General features: G+C 51.6%; 1 protein-coding gene and 1 long non-coding RNA gene across 3 annotated transcripts in view, besides 2 other annotated features; one reads left to right on the top strand and one right to left on the bottom strand.

The window, feature by feature from the left end:
* SLC25A42 (solute carrier family 25 member 42) overlaps nt 1-19,194 on the bottom strand; it is a 49,037-nt gene extending 29,843 nt beyond the window's left edge. The window contains exon 1 of one of the 2 annotated variants that reach the window (NM_178526.5): nt 19,073-19,194. The gene's annotated coding sequence lies outside the window, so the exon portion shown is untranslated. The remainder of the gene's footprint in view (nt 1-19,072) is intronic. The other variant, NM_001321544.2, reaches the window with a different exon arrangement.
* Nucleotides 19,023-19,292: a silencer, noted in NCBI's record as "silent region_10430". NCBI's record gives its function as "represses an Ori minimal core promoter by ATAC-STARR-seq in GM12878 lymphoblastoid cells {active_cell/tissue: GM12878}" and the evidence as "EXISTENCE:reporter gene assay evidence [ECO:0000049][PMID:35858748]".
* Nucleotides 19,553-19,722: a silencer, noted in NCBI's record as "silent region_10429". NCBI's record gives its function as "represses an Ori minimal core promoter by ATAC-STARR-seq in GM12878 lymphoblastoid cells {active_cell/tissue: GM12878}" and the evidence as "EXISTENCE:reporter gene assay evidence [ECO:0000049][PMID:35858748]".
* LOC124904655 (uncharacterized) lies at nt 19,663-22,362 on the top strand. The gene is made up of 3 exons (XR_007067160.1): nt 19,663-19,998; nt 21,037-21,144; nt 22,038-22,362. It is a non-coding gene; the product is annotated as an uncharacterized LOC124904655 (long non-coding RNA).

The raw sequence follows: 22,694 nt of genomic DNA, 5'->3' as shown, positions 1-22,694 counted from the left end.
ACTTGAGGGCCAGGTGAGAGCAGCCTGGGTAACATAGTGAAATCTCATTTTGTACAAAAATTTTAAAAATTAGCTGGGTGGCTCACACCTGTAATACCAGCACTTTGGGAGGCTGAGGCAGGTGGATCACCTGAGGTCAAGAGTTCATGACCATCCTGGCCAACATGGTGAAACCTCACCTCTCCTAAAAATACAAAAAAAATTAGCTGGGTGTGGTGGCACGCACCTGTAGTCCCAGCTACTCAGGGAGGCTGAGGCAGGAGAATCACTTGAACCCAGGAGGCAGAGGTTGCAGTGAGCTGAGATCGCCCCACTACACTCTAGCCTGGGTGACAGAGGGAGACTCCATCTCAACAACAACAACAAAAAAAAAATTAGTTGGGCTTGGTGGCACATACCTGTAGGAGGCCAAGATGGGAGGATGGCTTGAGCCCAGGAGTTGGAGGCTGCAACGAGGTGTGATCACACCACTGAACCCCAGCCTGGGTGACACAGCAAGACCTTGTCTCAAAAACAAAAAAAAAAGGCCAAGATCAGTGGCTCATGCTTGTAATTCCAGCCCTTTGGGAGGCCAAGGCAGGTGGATCAATTGAGGTCAGGCATCGAGACCAGCCTGGTCGACATGGCAAAACCCTGTCTCTTTCAAAAAATACAAAAATTAGTCGGGTGTGGTGGCACATTCCTGTAGCCCCAGCTACTTGGGTGGCTGAGGCACAAGAATTGCCTGAACCCAGGAGGTGGAGGTTGTGCCACTGCACTCCAGCCTGGGTGATGGAGCAAGACTCTGTCAGGAAAGGAAAGGAAAAGGAAAAGGACCAGAACGAACAAAGATAGACGCAGGAGAACTGGAGATGTGAGTGCCCTCCGCTGCTGGCTTTAGAGGTGGAGGGAGAGGCCCTGGGGGATAGAAGCTGGGAAAGGCAAAGACACAGATTCTCTTCCTGAGCCTCCAGAAGAAACCCAGCCCTGCACTCCCATTTTAGACTCCTGATGACCAGAACCTAAAGATGACAAATGTGTTGCTTTACGCCTCCACATTTGTGGTGGTTATGGCGGCAAAAGGAAGTGGACACAGGCTGTCACAAGGGAAGAGGACCAACTGGGCCAGTGGCCAGGGGAGTGACGGGAGGTGGACGTCAGGCTGACGTCAAATAACCAGACACTAGAGCTGCCAGCCCTAGTGGGAGTGGTCCCAGGAGGCCAATCACTCCCATGACAACGTGTACCCAGACTTGCGACCAGTGACCAGGTGATCAGGTCGGCCTCCCTGAGGGGCAGTGTCCAAGGCATGGCAGAGCCACATTCCAGCCACAAAATGCAAAGCCCATGGGGCTAGTGAGAGAAGGAATGGGTCTCCAGGGACAGAGGTCACTCGGCTAAAGGAGCGAAGAGGACAGTGAGGCAAGGAAGCCAGAGGACACCACGGGACCACTCGGGTGACAGCGTAGGGCCTGGACGGTAGGCTGCAGTGGAGGGAGGTGGCGGGCGCCTCAGGAGCCTGTCCAGGTTCTGCCTGAGACCTGGAGGTGGTGAGGTCGTTTCCTGGGACAGGGAGGCTTGGATGGGTTCGGGGAGGAAGCCCCAGTTCCCATGACCCCCACCCTCAGTGGCATTCTCCTCTTTGTCACTATAAGGGACAGGTAGTCTACCTACGCCCATCAGCCCCCACCTCGGCTTCCCAAGCGAGAAGAGGTTGTCAGAACTAGTGGTACCACCTGAGTGTCCCATGACACTGCCAGGGACGCTATGAGGACAAAACATGAAACATGCTTCTGTTTATTTAAAAACAGACGGGCCAACTGGCACTGGAAACACTTCTTTCCAGGTTCTGTTGTTGGGGTGTCACTTCCTCTCATCATCACCCCCTGCCAGGCTGGTCATAGTGGTGGTCCCTGTGGTTCCTTATGGGTCCAGTGCTGGAAAGTCACCCTGGGGCCACTTGGGACATCCTGCAGAAATGTGCCCCAATGACAAGTCTGTGGGGAGGGTATTTCTCCTTCTTCCCTTCCTCTCTTTCCCTCCCTTCCTCCCTCCTTTCTTTTCTTTATTCTTTCTTTCTTCTTTTTTTTATTTTTTCAGGGTCTCACTCTGTCACCCAGGTAGGAGTGTAGTGGCACAATCAGCTCATTGTAACTTCAAACTCCTGGGCTCAAGGGATTCCCCAAACTCCTGCCTCAGTTTCCTGAATAGCTGGGACTATACATGTGTACCACCATGCCTGGTTAATTTCCCTCTCTCCCTCCCTCTTTTTTTTTTTTTTTTTTAAATTTTATAGGGTCTCTCTCTGTTGCCCAGGCTGGAGTGCAGTAGCGCAATCTCAGGTCACTGCAGCTTTGATCTCCTGGGCTCAAGAGACCCTCCTGCCTTAGCTTCCCAAGTAGCTGGGACCACAGATAGGTACCACCAAGCCCAGCTAATTTTTGTGTTTTTCGTAGAGACGGGGTTTCACCATGTTGCCCAGGCTGGTCTCAAACTAAGCTCATGCAATCTGCCCACCTTGGCCTCCCAAAGTGCTGGGATTACAGGCATGCACCACCACCATGCCCAGCCTTAATTTCTTAATTTTTTTGTAGAGATGAGGTCTTGCTATGTTGCCCAGGCTAGTCTCGAACTCCTGGCCTCAAGTGATCCTCCCACCTGAACCTCCCAAAGTGTTGGGATTACAGGTGTGAGCCACTGTGCCTGGCTTGGGAGGGACCTATTTCATCAGCAGAACCCTGAGCCCTGAGCCTGGTCCAAATGAAGGAAGAGGACGCTGTACTTCTGGGTGAGAGCCCCTCCCCTTGCCTCCTTCCTTTTCTGTCTCCTTACTCATGGATCCAATGGGTAGGGGGTGGGGCTGTCCTTATCCCTAAAATGTCACTGCTGGGGCACAAGCAGTGACCCTTCACCCTCAGTCACCTGCTGAGGAAGCATTTCCCATTGTGAACTTGAAGGCAGGGTCACAGATTCAAGCCCACTCTGCTCTTCACCAGATGAGCACCCTCAGGCAAGTGTACCAGCTCCCAGGACCTCGGCCTCCTCATCTGAGAGTTGGTCTCACCATCCCACCCCAGTGCTGGCTGACAAGCCTACACATGCGGAACACCCGTTCTCCTCCTGACTCCCACCCATCCTGCCAAGCATCTGACTAAAACCTGCCAGGCGAGCAAGTGGAGAAACTGGTGTCCTTGTATGCTGGGAATGTTAGATGGGGCAGCCATTGTGGAAATCAGCCTGGAGGTTCCTTCACAAGTTACACAGGGAGATACTATTGTGGCCCAGCAATTCCACTTCCAGGCACAGAACCAAAGGGTCCACACAAAACTTGTGCATGGGGTTGGTCATGGTGGCTCACACCCATAATCCCAGCACTTTGGGAGGCTAAAGCAGGAGGATGCTTGAGGCTAGGAGTTCAAGACCAGCCTGGGCAACATAGTGAGACCCCAACACAATAGAAACAATAGCAACAACAATGAAACTTGTACATGAATGCTCCTAGCAGTAAGATTCACAACAGCCAAAAAGTGGAAGTAACCCAACTGCTCATCAACAGATGAATGGATATACAAAATGTTCGCATGACAGACTACTACTCAGCCATGAAAAGGAATGAAGCACTGATCCATGCTACAACATAGATGAACCTCAAAAACACGATACTGAGTAGAGAAGCCAGACACAAAAGGCCACATAGTGTGAGGTTCCATTGATATGAAATGCCCAGAACAGGTAAATCCATAGAGACAGGAACCAGATTGGTGGTTGCTAGGGGCTGGGGGCTGTGGAATGGGGAGTGACTGCTCATGGGGATGGGATTTCCTTTTGGGGGTGATGAAAATGTTCTGAAATTGGCCAGGTGTGGTGGCTCACACCTATAATTCCAGCACTTCAGGAGGCTGAGTCAGTCAGATAACTTGAAGTCATGAGTTCAAGACCACCCTGGCCAACATGGTGAGACCCTGTCTCTACTAAAAATACAAAAATTAGCTGGATATGATGGCATGCACCTGTAATCCCAGCTACTCAGGAGGTTGAGGCAGGAGAATCGCTTGAACCAGGGAGGTGGAGGTTGCAGTGAGCCGAGATTGCGCCATTGCACTCCAGCCTGGGTGACACAGCAAGATAAAAAATAAAAATTAAAAATAAAAAAATAAAAAATTGTCTAAAAAATAAAAATAAATAAAAAAATAAAAGTTCTGAAATCAGATGAAGGCAGTGGTTGCACAACACTGTGACTGTACTATATACCACTGAATTGTTCACTTTAAAACGCTCACAATGAGCCAAGAGCGCGCCACTGCACTCCAGCCTGGGGGACAAGAGCAAGACTACATCTCAAAAAAAAAAAGCTCACAATGGTAACTTTCAAGTTATGTGCATTTTGACACACATACAAAAACCTGCCCAGGTTCCCACCAGCCCTGGGAGGCCCTTCTCTGCTCTGGCAGGATAACAGGGTGGTGGGAGCCTGGGTACACCCTGGGCTGACTCAGGCAGTGTTCATGACCTTGGGTCTCCCTTTTCTTACGGATCCTTCCCTCCCTACTAGGTTACTTGGAATTAGATTAGCTGCTGGACATTCGTATGTCACTCCCTCTGTGTGCTTGCTGCATGCTTGCTGCGTACATGCTCGCTGCGTACATGCTCTGCGGAGGCACACCTTCACGGGCTCTATCGGTACTGCAAATGACCCACACAAGGATGACCATATGCACAGAGTCTATGTGGGAGGAGGGACATGGGGTGGGGGAAAGGGGTCTGTCCTGGGATCTGGAAGGGAAGGAGTACACCAGGGAGGGAGAACAGCAAGAAGGAAGAACCCAAGGCTGGAGTGAGCTCAGGCTGACCAGGGAAACAAACAGGCTGAGGCTGTGTCAGGCATACGCACCTTCATGCTGAATGCAAGTGGGCCATTGCAGGCTGTGCTTGTAGGGAGACACAAAGTACCCCCACCGCCCAATGCCGGCTGGGTCTCCCACCTCCAGACCTCTGCTTCTGCCCAGTGCAGCCAAGATTCCTACAAGCCACACCTGCCATAGAGGCCTCTCCCTCCAGCCTCCCCATATACAGCCCTGGGAGCTTTGAAGACCTGCCCAGCAGCATATCATGGCAATGATGAGCACACTCTATGGACACAACCCCAAAGACCACCCATAGGAGAATGGGAACACGTGTGTGGTATGTCCCACGATGGGACACTATGTAACACACCAAACTGCTGCTACACGCGACAACAACACGGATGGATCTCACAGACACACCAGTGAAGAGGCAGAAGCCAGGCACAAAAGGTTGCATACTGAACGATTCTTTTTTTTTGAGTTGGAGTCTCACTCTGTCGCCCAGGCTGGAGTGCAATGGCACGATCTCAGCTCACTGCAACTTCCACCTCCCGGATTCAAGTGATTCTTGTGCCTCAGCCTCCCGAGTAGCTGGGATTACAGGTGTGCACCACCACACCCAGCTAATTTTTTGTATTTAGGAAAGATGGGGTTTCGCCATGTTGGCCAGGCTGGTTTCGAACTCCTGGCCTCAGGTGATCTGCCCATCTTGGCCTCCCAAAGCGCTGGGATTACACGTGTGAGCCACTGTGCCCAGCTGCATACTGAATGATTCTGTCTGCATAACAGTCAAGCTCAGTAAACAAAATGTTTTATACACATCCAAATGTCGATAACTGCTGCCACACGGATGGACCCTGGGGATGTCATGCTGAGTGAAATGAGCCAGTCACAAAAGGACAAATACCATACGAATCCACTTATATGAGGTCCCTAGAGTCATCACATTCATAGAGACAGAAAGTAGAATGGCAGGTGCCAGGGGCTGGGAGCAGGGGAACAGAGAATTACTGTTTAGTGGGAACAGTTTCAGTTTTGCAAGACGGAAGAGTTGTGGAGACGGATGGTGGTGATGGTTGCACAACAGTGTGAATGTACTTAATGCCACTGAACTGAACACTTAAAAATGGCACTTTTAAGTACTGTGTATTTTACCACACTTTTTATTTATTTATTTTTGACACAGGGTCTCTCGCTCTGCCACCCAGGCTGCAGTGCAGTGGCACTATGATGGCTCACTGCGGCCTCCGACTCCCCGGCTCAAATGATCCTCCTACCTCAGCCTCCTGAGTAGCTGGGGCTACAGGTGTGGGCCACCATGCGCAGCTAAATTTTAAATTTTTTGTAGAGATGGGGTCTTACTATGTTGCCCAGGCTGGTCTTGAACTCCTGGGCTCAAGCTGTCCTCCAGCCTCTGCCTCCCAAAGTGCTGGAATTACAAACATGAGCCATTGCACACAGCCCACCACAATTTTTAAGAAACGTAAGTACAAAACACATTTATGGTGATAAAGATTAGAATACTGGTTACCTCTAGGGGGTATATCAGGGAGGGGGCAGGAAGGAGCCAGCTGGGGGCTTGAAAACTGTCTTGATCTGGTTCCAAGGATGCATATATACATAAAAATTCACTGAGCTATATATACACTTAGGATTTATGTGCTTTATTCTATGTAAGCTATATCTCAATTTAAAATGTTTAAACAGTGCAAACAAAACACCTCTGCCACACCCCCTCCCAGGCCAATGGATGCCAAACCTGGGAGTGGGGCAGGCAAGCCATTTGTAATTCCCAGGGGACTTGAATGGATGGCCTTTGGGAGTGGACGTGTTCAGCTTGCTCTTTCCCACTTTCCTCCAACCTGTGGAGAACACCTGTTTTGTTTTGTTTTTTTAAGATGGAGTCTCACTGTGCTGCCCAGGCTGGAGTGCAGTGGCATGATCTCGGCTCACTGCAACCTCCACCTCCCAGGTTCAAGTGATTCTTGTGCCTCAGCCTCCCCAGTAGCTGGGATTACAGACACACACCACCAGGTCTGGCCAATTTTTGTATTTTTTTTTTTTAGTAGAGATAGGGTTTCACCATGTTGGGCAGGCTGGTCTCAAACTCCTGACCTCAAGGTATCCACCCGCCTCAGCCTCCCAAAATGCTGGGATTACAGGCATGAGCCACTACACCTGGCCGAGAATACCTGTTGATGATCTTAGCAGTGATGAAAGCCTGGAGGAGGCACTGAAGCTCTACAGTTGGTCCACACGCACAGTGGCCATCCCTTCTGAGGACAGCATTCTGGGAAACCACTCGCTCTGCTCCCTGTCACTGTGGAGAAGAAAGTGGGGCTGATCCTCCCCTTGACTCCAGGGTGACCCAGGTGGCCATGGTCAGGTAATGAGACTTCACACTCCCCTAGGTTCAGGGTGCTGCCCCCAAAGACCAAGATCTGGGACTTTTGAGGGAACCATCGGGCCGGAGAAGTCCTCTTTCTTCAGGGGAGGGGAAGCCAGTAGGGTGTGAGACTGCAGGGCAGAGTTGACACAGAGTTAGAGGGCAGAGCAAGGCCAGGAGGTGAAGGAGGATACCTGCAGGCTAGGGGGATCTGGCAGCCAGTGGTGCCAAAAGCACACGGACTTTGCTGTCATGGAGCCCAGGAAGCACCCTTTCCAGTTCAGTCAGCATAGGATGGGTTTCTGTCACTTGCACCTGCCAGAGTCCTGACTCGTATGCTGTGCTGGGGTAGGTACCTCGTACTCCCCCAGCCCCACATAGTATTTACAACCACAGATGACAGTGTCCTGTGGCTCCGAGGCCCAGCCTTGCCACGTTCACTCTAGGTACCTTTCGCGAGTACCTAGGATGCCAGTGCTTTCTGAACTGGGATTCAGGTGTCCCCACAAGGGTGACTACCAGCGGCCAGGCAGAGGGGGGCCAGCCCCAAATAACATACGTGTATCTTTTCCCATGCTGCTTCTGTTCATGCAGTCTTTCCATTCATCAAACAAAAAACAAAGCTCGGCGGGGTATGGGAGGATGACATAGGAAATGACTTACTAAGCAGCATTATTCAGGAAACGTGAACCTGGAGCATGGGATCTTCGATAACTCATGATCACACCAGCCTCAGCATAGAACCTCCAGAGCAATGGGAACACTGGTTCCAAGCAAGTTGACAGTTGCTTGGGAGAGGGCAGGACAAGCTACTTCTTTTTTTTTTGAGACAGGGTCTCACTCTGTCACCCAGGCTGGAATGCAGTGGTAAAATCATAGCTCACTGCAGCCTCCATCTTTTGGGCTCAGGTGATCTTTCCACCTTAGCCTCTGAGTAGCTAGGACTATGGGTGTACACTATCATGCCCAGCTAATTTTAAAATTATTTTTAGTAGAGACGGGGTCTTGCTACGCTGCCCAGGCTGGTCTCAAACTCCTGGCCTCAAGCAGTCGACCTGCCTCTGCCTCCCAAAGTGTTGGGATTACAGGTGTGAACCACTGCGCCCAGCCACAAGGCTGCTTCTTGTTCTGAATCAGGCAATTTCAAACCCAAGCATCCTATAAGCCCCATGTACACAGGCTATCCTAATACATACACACTCACACATACACACACACTCACACTCGCTCACACATACACTCACACACACACACATACACGCACGCACACACACACTCTCTCACACACACTGTCACACACACACAGACTCATATGCACATGTGCCTGATTCCCTTGAGCCTGTCTCATAGCTTCCCGACCAGACATAAGACAGGCCCACCGTTTATGCTGTTACCTTGTGGGGACCACCATACAACTGCCAGCTCCACCCCTTGGGACTCAGGAAATGTTTGTACAAATGTTGGGTGGGGGTGGGGACAGTTTCTCTGTGGATGGAGTTTATTATAAGCAGCCGTGAAATGGATCCTGTAATCTCTCAGTAAACGGAAGCCAATTAACATCCTATCTGCCAGCCGATAAAGGCTGTTTTCTTTTCTAGTTAATAAGCATTAACTCTGCCTAAGGGATCCGGGCACATCTTACATAATGGCTGCTGCCCGTTAACCCCAACCCCGCAGGCTGCCTCACAAATGGGGAGTTTCTTCCTGCTGCATTTGCTCCTGTGTGCCTTTCAGACAATCTTTGGTTAAGGCAACCCTTGTTGCGGTCTCTATGGGTTAAACACCCTGAAAGATCCAGGAAATTCTATGATCAATTGCTGTCCTCTGTCCTTGCAGACAGTGCTGCCCACACCTGTCACCAAAGGCCGTTAGATGTTATCTAAAACAATCCAAGGTACTGAATGGTACTCACATTCCTCCACTAAGAGGGTCTACTTCAGTAACTGTCCTCGCCTCAAAAGCCCTATGTTTGGTTGGGCGTGGTGGCTCATGCCTGTAATCCCAGCACTTTGGGAGGCCAAGGTGGGCAGATCACTTGAGGCCACGAGTTCAAGACCAGCCTGGGCAACATGGTAAAACCCTGTCTCTACAAAAATACAAAAATTAGCTGGGCACAGTGGCTCACGCCTTTAATCCCAGCAGTTTGGGAGGCCAAGGCAGATGGATCATTTAAGGTCGGGAGTTCAAGACTATCCTGGCCAACATGGTTAAACCCCGTCTCTACTAAAAATACAAAAATTAGCCAGCATGGTGGTACATACCTGTAATCCCAGCTATTCGGGAGGCTGGGGCAGGAGAATTGCTTGAACCTAGGAGACGGAGGTTGCAGTGAGCCAAGATCATGCCACTGCACTCCAGCCTGGGTGATGGTGAAAGACTTCAACTCAAAAAAAAAAAAAAGCCCCATGTTCTTACCACACGGAACCTGGCACAGCAATCCGCATTTGATTGGCCTTCAACAACTATTTGCTGGACAAGTGAATTAATTCCCTGGACATGCCAAGTTTTGCTTTGGCCGCAGTCTCCGATCCTGGCAAACTTCTCTGCATCCTTCAAAGCTCCTAAATGTCCTGGCCTCACTGCCCCCAAAGTTAACTGCTCTGCCCTGCACTGAGCAGTCTGTGGTTCTCTGCTGCACTTGAGGGGCCACTCTCCACTTGCTTCCCTGCAACCAGGCTGGGGGTCCCTGGAAGGCAGGGGTCCCTGGAAGGCAAGGGTCCATGTCACACTCAGTGTCCATGCCCAGCAAGGAAGCAGAAACATAACAGCTGCAGACAGGTGCTTTTGCCTGTTGCTGTCCTGTCCTCCTGCTCTTCAGCCATCCCTCCCACAGCAGCAAGAATGCACCACTTCAATCATTCTCTTCCTCATAGCCACACAGCAGCATGCACAGGCTCCCTGCCACCACACACTGTGTTGTGGGATGATGGGGTCTAGCATGTGACACCTTGGATGTGTCACTAAACCTCCACATAGGCCACATACAGTGGGTCACACCTGTAATCCCAGCACTTTGGGAGGCCGAGGCAGGAGGATCACTTGAGGCCAGGAGTTCAAGGCTTCAGTGAGCTATGATCCCACCACTGCACTCCAGCCTGGGTGACAGAGTGAGGCCCTGTCTCTACAAAATAAATTAGCCAGGTATGGTGGCGCACACTTATAGTCTCAGCTACTCAGGAGGTTGAGGTGGGAAGATCACTTGAACCCAGGAGGTCGAGGCTGCATGTGCTGTGATTACACCACTGCACTCTAGCCTGGGCAACAGAACAAGACCCTGTCTCTAAAAAAAATTTTTTGGCTGAGTGAGGTGGCTCATGCCTGTAATCCCAGCATTTTGGGAGGCCGAGGCGGGCAGATCACTTGAGGTCAGGAGTTTGAGACCAGCCTGGCCAACATGGCGAAACCCTGTCTCCACGCCTGGCTAAATACAAAAATTAGCCAGGCGTGGTGGCAGGCGCCTGTAATCCTAGCTACTCAGGAGGCTGAGGCATGAGAATCACTTGAGCCCAGGAGGCAGAGACTGCAGTGAGCCAAGATCAGGCCACTGCACTCCAGCCTGGGTAACACAGTGAGACTCTGAAAAAACAAACAAAAAATTTAAAGTAAAAAATAAACCTCCCCATTCCTTGATTTCCTCATCTGTCACCATCTTCACAGGATAGTGCCACTCGAGTGGGTGACAAGTATTGGTAAGTATCGTTCTCCCTAATAAGGAATCAGACAGGGCTGGGGCAAATCCCATTTAACACGGCCCCGGCCTATTGAGTATGCTTTTGAGACACTGACACATGGCTTCCCCATGATCCATGATTGAAATGTACACATTCGCCAGGCACAGTGGCTCACGCCTGTAATTCCAATACTTTGGGAGGCTGGGGTGGGAGGACAGCTCGAGCCCAGGAATTGGAGATCAGCCTGGGCAACACAGCAAGATCCCACTTGCCTAATCTCACCACCTGAAGACCCTCATTCATCCTGGGTCGCCCCATGCCAGTCTGAGCATCCCCCCACAGGTTAATCTCCCTACAATGTGAAACAAAACTTAGATGATTTGTCCCGCTGCTCATCAAAGAACATCCCTTTATTTTTATTTTTTTAGTTGTTTTTTTTTTTGAGACGGATTCTCGCTTTGTTGCCTAGGCTGGAGTGCAGTGGTGCAATCTTGGCTCAGTGCAACCTCTGCCTCCCAGGTTCAAGTGATTCTCCTGCTTCAGTCTCCTGAGTAGCTGAGATTACAGGTGCCTGCCACCATGGCTGGCTAATTTTTATATTTTTAGCAGAGATAGGTTTCACCATGTTGGCCAGGCTGGTCTCAAACTCCTGACCTCAGGTGCTCCGCCCACCTCGGCCTCCCAAAGTGCTGGGATTACAGGTGTGAGCCACCGCACCAGCCCTAATTTTGCTTTCTGCTAGCCCTTGGCTCTGCCATGTAGTTAATTCCTCATTAGCTTCAGATCTCCCAGAGTTTCCTGAAAATCTCCCTGGCCCCCTGAAGATCAGACCGTAGCACCCCAGCTTCTCCTCAAGACTGACCAATATGGAACTCCAATCACTTGGTGGTGGTCTGATGTGTGTCCATGCTCCCCATCCTTCTGAGACCAGGTATCAACAGGAGATAATCACAGGACCAAGCTCACAGCCCAGAAAGCAAAATTAAGATGTACACACTTGGAGCTGGGCGTGGCGGCTTACACCTCTAATTCCAGCACTTTGGGAGGATGAGGCGGGAGGATGGCTTGAACCCAGGGGTTTGAGACCAGTCTGGGAAGGATGGAGAAACCCTGTCTCTACAAAAAATTTAAAAGTTAGCCGGGCTTGGTGGTGCATGCCTATAGTCCCAGCTACTTGGGAGGCTGAGGCAGGAGGATCACTTGAGCCCAGGAATTCGAGGTGGCAGTGAGCTGTGATCTTGCCACCACACTCCCACTCCAGCCTCAGCAACAAAGTGAGAAAGTGAGACCCTGTATTAAAAAAAAAAAAAAAAAAAGACGGTATGCATTCACTAGTCAGGTCCTTGGTGGCTTAGAGCATCTGGATGCCTCCACCTTCCGAGGGAGACAGGTGAGTAAGCAAAGCTGCCAACATGAGCCATCTGGAGGGGCTGAGGAATGTGTCCGACCCCATTGGCCTATTCTTCCTGAAGTAACAGAGGTACCTGAACAAGCATTTCCCTTAATAATGTCCTGTTGGAAATAACTAGCTCAGCAAGTATAAGGGTTGAATGACATCCCCCAAATTCATGTCCACCTGGAACCTCAGAACATGGCCTTCTTTGGAAATAGGGTCTTTGCAGATGCAATCAGTTAAGGATCTTAAGATGAGTTCACCTTGAGATTTAGGGTGAGCCCTAAACCCAAGGACTAGTGTCCTTATAAGAAGAGGGGATCGGCCGGGAGTGGTTCACATCTGTAATCCCAGCACTTTGGGAGGCCGAGTTGGGCAGATCACTTGAGGTCAGTTCAAGACCAGCCTGGCCAACGTGGCAAAACCGTGTCTCTACTGAAAATACAAAAATTAGCTGGATGCGGTGGTGCGCACCTGTAATCCTAGCTACTTGGGAGGCTGAGGCAGGAGAATGGCTTGAACCTGGGAGGTGGAGGTTGCGGTGAGCCGAGATCACACCATTGTACTCCAGCCTGGGCAACAAGGGCAAAACTCTGTCTAAAAAAAAAAAAAAAAAAAATGGCCAGGCAGGGTGGCTCACACCTGTAATCCCAGCACTTTGGGAGGCCGAGGCAGGCGGATCACAAGGTCAGGAGATCGAGACCATCCTGGCTAACACAGTGAAACCCTGTCTCTACTAAAAAAATACAGAAAATTAGCCGGGCGTGGTGGCGGGCACCTGTAGTCCCAGCTACTCTGGAAGCTGAGGCAGGAGAATGGTGTGAACCTGGGAGGTGGAGCTTGCAGTGAGCCGAGATCATGCCACTGCACTCCAGCCTGGGCGATAGAGCAAGACTCTGTCTCAAAAAAATAAAAAATAAAATTAGCTGGATGTGGTGGTGCATGCCTATAATCCCAACTACTCGGGAGGCTGAGGCAGGAGAATCGCTTGAACCTGGGAGGCAGAGGTTGCAGTGAGCGAAGATCGCACCACTGCAGTCCAGCCTGGGCAACAGAGCAAGAGCTTGTCTCAAAAAAAAAAAAAAAGAAGAGGAGATCCAGGAGTGGTGGCCTGCGCCTATAGTCCCAGCTACTCAGCAGGCTGAAGCGGGAGAATCACTTAAGCCAAAGAGTTAGAGGTTGCAGTGAACTATGATCATATCACTGCACTCCAGCGTGAACAACATAGTGAGACCCCATCTCTAAAAAGAAAGAAAAAATAGAGGACACAAAGACACACACAACAGGGAGAAAGCCACATTAATACAAAGGCAGAGACTGGAGTGATGTAGCCACGAGCCAAGAACTTCAAAGTTTGCCCGGAGAAAGGCCTGGGAAGGACTCCCTCAGAGCCTCCAGAAGGAACCAGTCCTGTTGACACCTTCATTTTGGACTTTAGGCCTCCACAACTACGACAGGATACATTTCTGTTGTCTGAAGCCCCCCAGTTTGTGGTAATTTATTATGGCAGCCACGGGAAACGAATATGCAGGGATCTGAGGCCAAGCCTCCAAGTGTTGGCCTGCCCCTCAGCTGGTGGCTTGTCCTCAGCCATTTGCCTGCCAGAACCTCACAGGCTGCTGGGCTGGCAGAGAGCTCAGCAGAAAATCTGGCCAGCAGAGAACTTTGTTGAGCCCCTGGAATCCAAGCATTCTGCCCAAGATGGTAGTAGCAAAAGGTGCTCAGTGAAGAAAACAAATGTTGACAAGCATATTTTAAAAATAGCTCTGTGAACAGGGTGGGGCCTCCAGGGGACATCGTTCTACTTCCTGAGTTGGGTGCTAATTTTATTATTGGTTAAATCTTCTTTCTTTTCACATACATGTTATATACTTTTTTTTTTTTTTTAAAGAGACAGAACCTCACTGTCACCCAGGCTGGAGTGCAGTGGCACAAACCATGGCTCACTGCAGCCTCAACCCCCTGAGCTCAAGTGATCCTCCCACCTCAGCCTCCTGAGTAGCTAGGACTATGGGTACATGCCAACAAGGCCAGCTAATTTATTTATTTATTTATTTATTTATTTATTTATTTATTTGAGACTGAGTGTCGCTCTGTCACCCAGGCTGGAGTGCAGTGGTGCCATCTCAGCTCACTGCAACCTCCGCCTCCAGGGTTCAAACGATTCTCCTGCCTCAGTCTCCCGAGTAGCTGGGACTATGGGCATGCACCACCACACCCGGCTATTTTTGTTTTTATTTTTTTCTTGAGACAGAGTCTTGCCCTGTTGCCCAGGCTGGAGTGCAGTGGCACGATCTTGGCTCGCTGCAACCTCCGCCTCCCGGGTTTAAGCAATTCTCCCTGCCTCAGCCTCCAGAGTAGCTGGGAATACAGGCGCCCACCAACATGCCCGGCTAATTTTTGTATTTTTAGTAGAGACGGGGTTTCACCATGTTGGCTAGGCTGGTCTTGAACTCCTGACATCAAGTGATCCACCTGCCTCGGCCTCCCAAAGTGCTAGGATGAAAGGCGTGAGCCACCATGCCTGGCCCGACATGATATACTTTTTTTTTTTTTTTTTGAGACAGAGTCTCGCTCTGTCGCCCAGGCTGGAGTGCGATGGTGTGATCTCAGCTCACTGCAACCTCCAACTCCCGGGTTCAAGCAATTCTCCTGCCTCAGCTTCCTGAGTAGCTAGGATTACAGGCGCATGCCACTACGCCTGGCTAATTTTTGTATTCTTTGGTAGAGACAGGGTTTCACCATGTTGGTCATGCTGGTCTTGAACTCCTGACCTCATGATCTGCCCGCCTCGGCCTCCCAAAGTGCTGGGATTACAGGTGTGAGCCACTGTGCCCGGCCAATATACTTTTTATGAAGAAGTATTTCATGTTTAAAATAAAAAATGCAAATGCACTTTTAAAAGCTCTGTCTTGCAAAACCCAAACGAGCGAATGATTCTGATTATCTCAATAATCCCCTCTTAATGTCTAACTGCCAAAATAGAAGAGACAGACAAAAAAAACTGTATGACACGTGGGCAGAGGCCTGACTTCAGTATGACGACACCCTCCATCTGGCACCAGTGGTGAGAAATTGGACAATTGGAGAGAGTCTCGAAACAGCTTCCCAGACAGATTTAACATCTGACTCGTCTCAATCTCTCATGATGCCCTCATCTTTCTTTTCCTAGACCCAAGTGAAAAAAAAAAAAATCAGCAACAGCTAAATGGTTCTTCTAGCAACTGTTCTTGTTGAGGTACCTTGAGCCAAAATCTCAGCACCACCACTGCTCCCTGCTATAGGGACAAGCTTCACAGAGCAGGAACTCAAAAAAAATTTTTTTTAACAGAAAAACAGGGTCTTGCTCTGTTGCCCAGGCTGGAGTGCAATGGTGCAATCATAGCTCACTGCAGCATTGAACTCCTGGGCTCAAGCAGTTCTCCACCTTAGCCTCCCAACTAGCTGAGACTATTTACGCACGCCACCACGCCCGGCTAATTTTAAAATTTTTTTTATAGAGATAGGGTTTCACCATGTTGCCCGAGCTGGTCTGAAACTCCTGGGCTCAAGCAATACACCTGCCTCATCCACCCAAAGTGTTGGGTGGTGTGAACCACTGCATCCAGCCCCAAATATTTCTTGAACTTTAGTCTGACTGGCAGAGAAACAAGTCTAATGTTTAATCCCTACCCCACAAGCCAGAACACCTAAGACAGGGGTAGGAAGCATGGAAGTGATGTTCAAAAGGATCTCTTGTGCTGTTTTTTACCTATCAGATGGGACAGACCACAAAACTTGATAGTAAGATAACTGAGCTGGCCACAGGAGAGGAATCAGGCTTTCCAACTTCACAGTTGAGAGGAGGAGGAGGAATATGCCCTTTTACTTGGCCCTTTTTTTTTTTTTTTTTTGAGACAGGGTCTAGCTCTGTCGTCCAGGCTGGAGAGGAGTGCAGTGGCATGATTATAGCTCACTGCAGCCTTGAACTCCTTGGTTCAAGCAATCCTCCCACCTCAGCCTCCTGAGTAACTGTGGACTACAGGCATGGCCAGCAAGACAGGGGGGTCTGAAGTGTCTGAGCACGGCTGGAGCCCAAATACGTTCAATGTGTATTTAGTACATGCTGATGCATGCATCTATCCATTGCAGCTCTGTTTGTAAAAGCTAAATATGGGCTGCAGTGGCTGGGCGCAGTGGCTCACGCCTGTAATCCCAGCACTTTGGGAGACCGAGGCAGGCTGATCACAAGGTCAGGAGATCGAGACCATCCTGGCTAACACAGTGAAACCCCGTCTCTACTAAAAAAATATGAAAAAATTAGCCGGGTGTAGTGGTGGGTGCCTGTAGTCCCAGCTACTCAGGAGGCTGAGGCAGGAGAATGGCTTGAACTTGGGAGGCGGAGCTTGCAGTGAGCCGAGATCGCGCCACTGCACTCCAGCCTGGGCGACAGAGCAAGAATCCAACTCAAAAAAAAAAAAAGAAAGAAAAAAAAAATATGGGCTGCAGCTTAAACAGCCATCAGTAAGGGACTGGCCTTAGAATGCATATGTCTGCTCAATGCAAATTTACCAGTGGTTTAAAAGGGGTGGGGGATATATACCTCCCCCGACCCCTTTCTGCCACCCCAGTCATAGACTACCTCTGGAAGAAAACATAAGAAATTATCAACAGCAGGTGCATCTGAGGAGGAACGGGGTACAGGCTGGGGAAGACCTGACTGATTTCTACTATGTGACCTTTTGTACTGTTTGATTTTTTCTTTTTAACTATATAATAGGCCGGGTGTGGTGGCTCACGCCTGTAATCCCAGCATCTTGGGAGGCTGAGGCGAGCAGATCACTTGGGGTCAGGAGTGCGAGACCAGCCTAGCCAACATGGTGAAACCCCGTTTCTATTAAAAATACAAAAATTAGCTGGGTGTGGTGGCACATGCCTGTAATCCCAGCTACTCAGGAGGCTGAGGTAGGAGAACTGCATGAACCCAGGAGGCAGAGGTTGCCGTGAGCCGAGATCACACCACTGCACTCCAGCCTGGGCAACAGAGCAAGACTCCGTCTCAAAAAAAACCCAAAAACTATATACTCAATGATCTTGCCAAAGTTTATACACATGTACATATATAACACACACGAAATATGTATATATAAAATATGTATATAAACATATGAATATTATAGGTACATGTACATATGTGTACAACACACACACATATACATACATATATACATACATGCCCATATATGTTTTAAATGACTCCTATTGAAGTTGGACAGAAAACCCAAATGGCTTCAGTTTCCACAGGAGAAGCTGAAGGTGACATGACCCTCTGAAACATTCTGGTACCGTCTTTGCAGGGAGCGGTGGGAGGGGGTAAGAAACGCTCCAGGAGCCTTACAGGAAATGGCACGTTATTGCTTTTCAACAACAAAGCCACTGTCCTCCTTCTATGCTGCATGCTTGCAAATCAGACTCAAGGGAACTAAAAAATTCCAGAAGAATCATTCCTAGCACCACCCAGGCTCGTTTTGCAGGTTAGCTTTAAACAGCTGAAACATTAGTTTGCCTCACTCTAAAGAGTGTTTCCTTACTCTTTATCGGCTTCAAGGGCCCAGGGAGTGTCGGAGAGGGGTCCCGGGTCTGCAAGAGCTGGGAGCCCCGGCCCCGGCAACCCCCTCTCCGGCATCCTGCAGGAGGCACCCAAGATGATGAGCCCCCCTCCTCCGGCAGCGTCTCCACCGCCAGCCTGCCCCAGGACTCCGAGACACACGCTTGGCAGAGGGGCCGTCCCTTCCAGCTAAGCCTTTCCGGACCCAGTCAAAGTCACGACTCCTGCCAATCCCTCTGAGATAAACATAACAGATGGGCCCAAACGCGGTGGGTCCACAGCAGAGGGTCAGCGATGCCCAGGGTAGAATAGGCTCTGCCTCTAGCATTCAAGTGGTTTAGGTCTGTGGCTGGTAAAATGGAGATGATTCCGGTTTGGTCTGACAGATGGGATTATTCTAAGGTCCGGAAATCACTTTATAGACTGTCAAGCACTGTTAGAAATGAACACTGGGGTAAGCTTTTGTTTGGGGAGGGGAGGGTGCAGCGATCCTGAGATACCAAGGCTTGGGGGACTATTGGAGGACCTGGGGGATTCGGGGGGATTATTACAGAGGGTGTGCGAACACAGGTGCACGTGGAAGAAAGCCCAAGGTGGGAGAGAGAAAAGGGGGAGACAGAGGTGTGGGGCTGCCAGGGCAGAGGGCAGGTGCCAGGGGGAAGGTCCCTGAGAAGAGAGACACAGGTTGCTGGGGGAGTGGGCACGAGAGTAGCGAGCAGATACCTGGATATGAGGAAAGGCAGTGGGGGACGGGACTAGGTCCAGGTGTGAGTTGCGAGGCCATGAGTTAGGAGTCACAGGCTCAGGTGTGGGTGTGGGGGTGTCATCGACAAGGACAGACTCAGGTGATGTGGGGGGTGTTCGTGAGTGGGGGCGGGTGTTCGTGAGTGGGGGCGCGGTGTCAGGTGTGTGAGGGGGATGTCAGACCCAGCTGTGCGGGGCGCCGGGGACAAGGCCCCAGGGGTGTGGGAGATGTCAGCAAGGACAGTCTAAAGTGTATGGGGGATGTCAACGAAAAGGGACGTGGTGTCAGGCGTGCGTGGACTGCGGGTGACGGGCTCAAACCTGGATGCAGTAGCCCCCAGGGGGCAGTAGACGTGGAGTGTGGGGTTGGGGGGGGTCTTTAACCTCTTCCTGCCCTCGCGACGCTACTGTCATGCCCCGCCTCATCCGCCCCTCGCCCCGGGATCCATGACAGGACCCGTGCCTCACCTCAGTTCAGCCCGACAGGCGCGGGCCGCTGACGCTTGGGCCCCCCCGGCGCCCCCCGCGCCCCCTCACCGGCCCGGACGCGTCGCCGCCGCCGCTACCTCCAGCCGCCACGGCCCCGCCTCGCGCACCCCCAGAGCGCGCCACGGGAGGGGTCCACGCCACGCCCCGATTGGCTGCTCCCTGGCCAGTCAGCGCTGGAAGCGACAGTGATTGGCGAGTATGAAGCAGATGGGCAGCCCCTAAAGCCAATCGCTGATTGGCAGAGGTGGGGCTATTGGGAGAGGCCTGGGGTGCCTGAGTGGTCCCTCAGGGTGCTAGGCGCTGGGAGGCGAGGGCCTGGAGGCAGGCGAGGATTGGAATCTTGGCAGAAAACAGGCAGAACTGTCGGCCAATCGCTGGGGGCCAGGGGCGGGGCTACGAAGAAACTGGCGCTACCGGTGGGGCAGAGGCGAGAGGAACGGAGGGCGTAGCTTGGGGGGAGACCGGGATTGGCCGCAAAGCCGAAGACTGGCAGGCCCCGCGGCCAGTCGCAGCGGCCGTGGGCGGTACGCCCCCAGGGGAGGGCTGGAGCGTTCAAGGTGCAGTCCGACCCGGAGCGCGGCAACCCGACGTGGCCTCGGACGCCTGGCGCAGGGTCCCCTGAGGCTCTCGTGTAGAGCCCGCCCTCTGGCCACCTAGCACAGAAGCGGATGTGAACTTGGACCATCAAGGCTGAAGGACTCCTGGATAATTCTCTATCCCCTTACTCCCCACTAATCCCCTGCAGACGACACGGAGAGGGCAGATTCGCTGGAGGTCACTCTGAACTGCCCTCTCCATCTCGAGGTGGTGTGAAGACATGGAAATAAGGGGCGGAATCCTACTGAAACGCGCTGCGTGGTTTTCTGAGTGTCTGACCTCTCTGCGTCCCAGCTTTCCCCGCCACGGTATCCAGTGACATCCCTGTTGGGCCTTCTCCCTGCCAAGTCTTTTTTTGAATTAACTGAATCTTAACCACAATCCCATGAGGTCAGAGAGACCACTGGCTCCTTTTACAGAAACCAGAGCACAGAGAGGTCAAGCTCCTTGCCCAAGGTTACACAGCATTCTCTGGTTGCTAAACCAGAGAATGAATCTAGAGCAGCCTGCTTTTTGGAAAGAGTGTGTCAGAGAAGAGCCACTGGGGGCCTCAGAGACCTGGGTTTGAATCCTTGTCCAATCACTGGCCCACCACACAACCTTGGGCAAAAGCCCTTGTGAGCCTCAGCTGTTTCATTTGGAAAAGAGGGGGGAAAATGATTCCTATGCCTTGATCTTTCCTCTCTGGGGTTGCTTCCCTGGGAAAATTTACAACTCAGCTCTCATTTTAATTATCTGGTGAAAGCATTTGACCCTGAGCAGGTCATGTGCGGCCTGTGAGCCTCAGCTCCTCTGTGAAGTGCAGAAAAATGCCGGCAGTTTAGGGAGACACCTGCCATCCCAGGCATGGCTGTGTCATCGGCACCTCCCCCGAAGCCACTCTGTTCTATGACTCACCCTTCATCTTCAGGATGGAGAGGGCTACAAATGTTTCCAGATACCAGCTCTTATTTCCTCTAGGTGCTGGCCAGGGTTGGTGGAGATCAAGTTCAGAACCAGGGAATCCTGGGAGGGAGCAAGGCTGAAACCAACCTTAGAAAGGGCTCACATTTCAGGGCTGCACAAGCCCCTGCTAAGTGTGTGATCCACAAGTTTCAAATGGGGAGGATGTGACGGGAAATCACTAGCCCAAGGCCATCATCAAACTCCTGATATTCTCACGATATGCCTACCTGGACCTCCTCTCCCATACCTCCCACCTGTGGTTTGCTTCCTGGCAACTTCCAGGATCTGGCCTCCATTCTGCCCTCCAGAGAAGAGGGGGAAGCTGAGGTCAGTTGAACATCAATTGGGTGCCAGGTCCCCACTGGGCTTTCTCCAATACCATCTCCCCACCTCACTTCCAGGTGGACGTGACAGTGCCCACTTAGCAGATAAGAAAACTGAGCCTATGGTGGAGAATATTCCTTGGTGGAAGGACCCAGGGCTGAGTTTGAATCCCTGCTCTTTTTAACGTAAGTAATGGCCAGTAACAGCCACAGGACCTTCAGCAAATAACACAAGCTCCCCACTTCAGTTTCCCGGCTGTCTCCTAGGGCTGATGTGAGCATTGATGAAATGGAAGCAAAACACTTACAATGGCTTCGTCCACAGTAAGCACTCATGGAAGGCTGGTGATGATATATTGTTCTTCTCTGGGCCTGTTTCCCTCTCTGTAAATAGCGCTTCATGGACACAGACCAACTATGGGCGTGGCTTGCCACACCAAGAGGGAGATATCTACGCCGAGGAGCGCCCACTCCCAGTGCCCACCTGCCAGGCCCTGGGAGGGGGAGGTAACAAAGCTCCTGGAAGGTCCCACAGTGCCTCCAGGGACAGAGCCAACTAAGGCAAAGGTCAGGCTCTGGCCCAGCCTGGGGCTGCCTCTCTAGCTTCTGCTCGTTCTTTAGCAGGCTGGCGCCAGCCAACCTCCCTACCGCCTTCCAGCAATGGCAGGCAAAGCACCTTGGCAATAGCAATGGACACCCCCACCATGGGCACTCATGTAAGCCCAGCTAGGGTGCCCAGGATCTCGGCTCTTCTGCTTTGGCTGGCCAGCCCTGGACAGGACACTGCCTCTTCGCCCTCCAGTCTCCTCTACCTCTTGGGGATCCCAGGAATCATCTGTGAGCCAGGCCCTGGCACAGCGTCCAGGCCTAATCACCTGAGGCCCAAAGGCCTTTTGCCCAAGGTCAGGTTAACAGCTTTGGAAAAAGATGAGGGGCCTGGAGGCAGGCCAAGCTGTGGTCTCATCCCACCGCAGCCCCTCAAATGCCCATGAGTCTATTTCCTATCTGGAAAATGAGGTTTAGTCCAGCCTCTGGGAGATGTATGTTCACAACAGAAAAAATCTGTGTTCCTTTCCCAGGAGCCCAAGCCCATCCCTGGCTGGAGGGAGACATCCTGAACACAGCAGTGACAACAACCAAGCCTGGCTGGGGTCAGAGTGGCCTCATTCACCTCCCAAGGCTCAGATAAGTCAGGCCACTTCACCAAGAGCCTACAGTAGCAGAGGCGTGGCCTGAACACACTCGCACCATCCTTGCAGCAGGCTCCACCTCAGCCCAGGTCTCGATGTCATCAAGGAGGACAGCAAAAGCTACTTAAGAGAAGGCCAGGGCCGGGTGCGGTGGCTCACGCCTGTAATCCTAGCACTTTGGGAGGCCGAGGCGGGCGGATCACGAGGTCAGGAGATCAAGACCATCCTGGCTAACAAGGTGAAACCCCATCTCTACTAAAAATACAAAAAAATTAGCCGGGGGTGGTGGCAGGCGCCTGTAATCCCAGCTACTCAGGAGGCTGAGGCAGGAGAATGGTGTGAACCTGGGAGGCAGAGCTTGCAGTGAGCCGAGATGGCGCCACTGCACTCCAGCCTGGGTGACAGAAAAGGGAAGGCGACGGGGATGGGGGCTGGGGGGAGTTATGTTCTGGACATCCCCTGAAGCGCGCCTTTCTAGGGGCTGTGGCCCTCCAGTGTGCCAGATCTAGCCTGAGTTCAGATGAGAAGGCCGAGGCTCACAGACGG

The sequence above is a fragment of the Homo sapiens genome, chromosome 19, assembly GCF_000001405.40.
Source record: "Homo sapiens chromosome 19, GRCh38.p14 Primary Assembly".
Classification (NCBI taxonomy): domain Eukaryota; kingdom Metazoa; phylum Chordata; class Mammalia; order Primates; family Hominidae; genus Homo; species Homo sapiens.
Note: the sequence above shows the minus strand (reverse complement) of the source record. Positions and strands in the feature narration are given on the sequence as shown.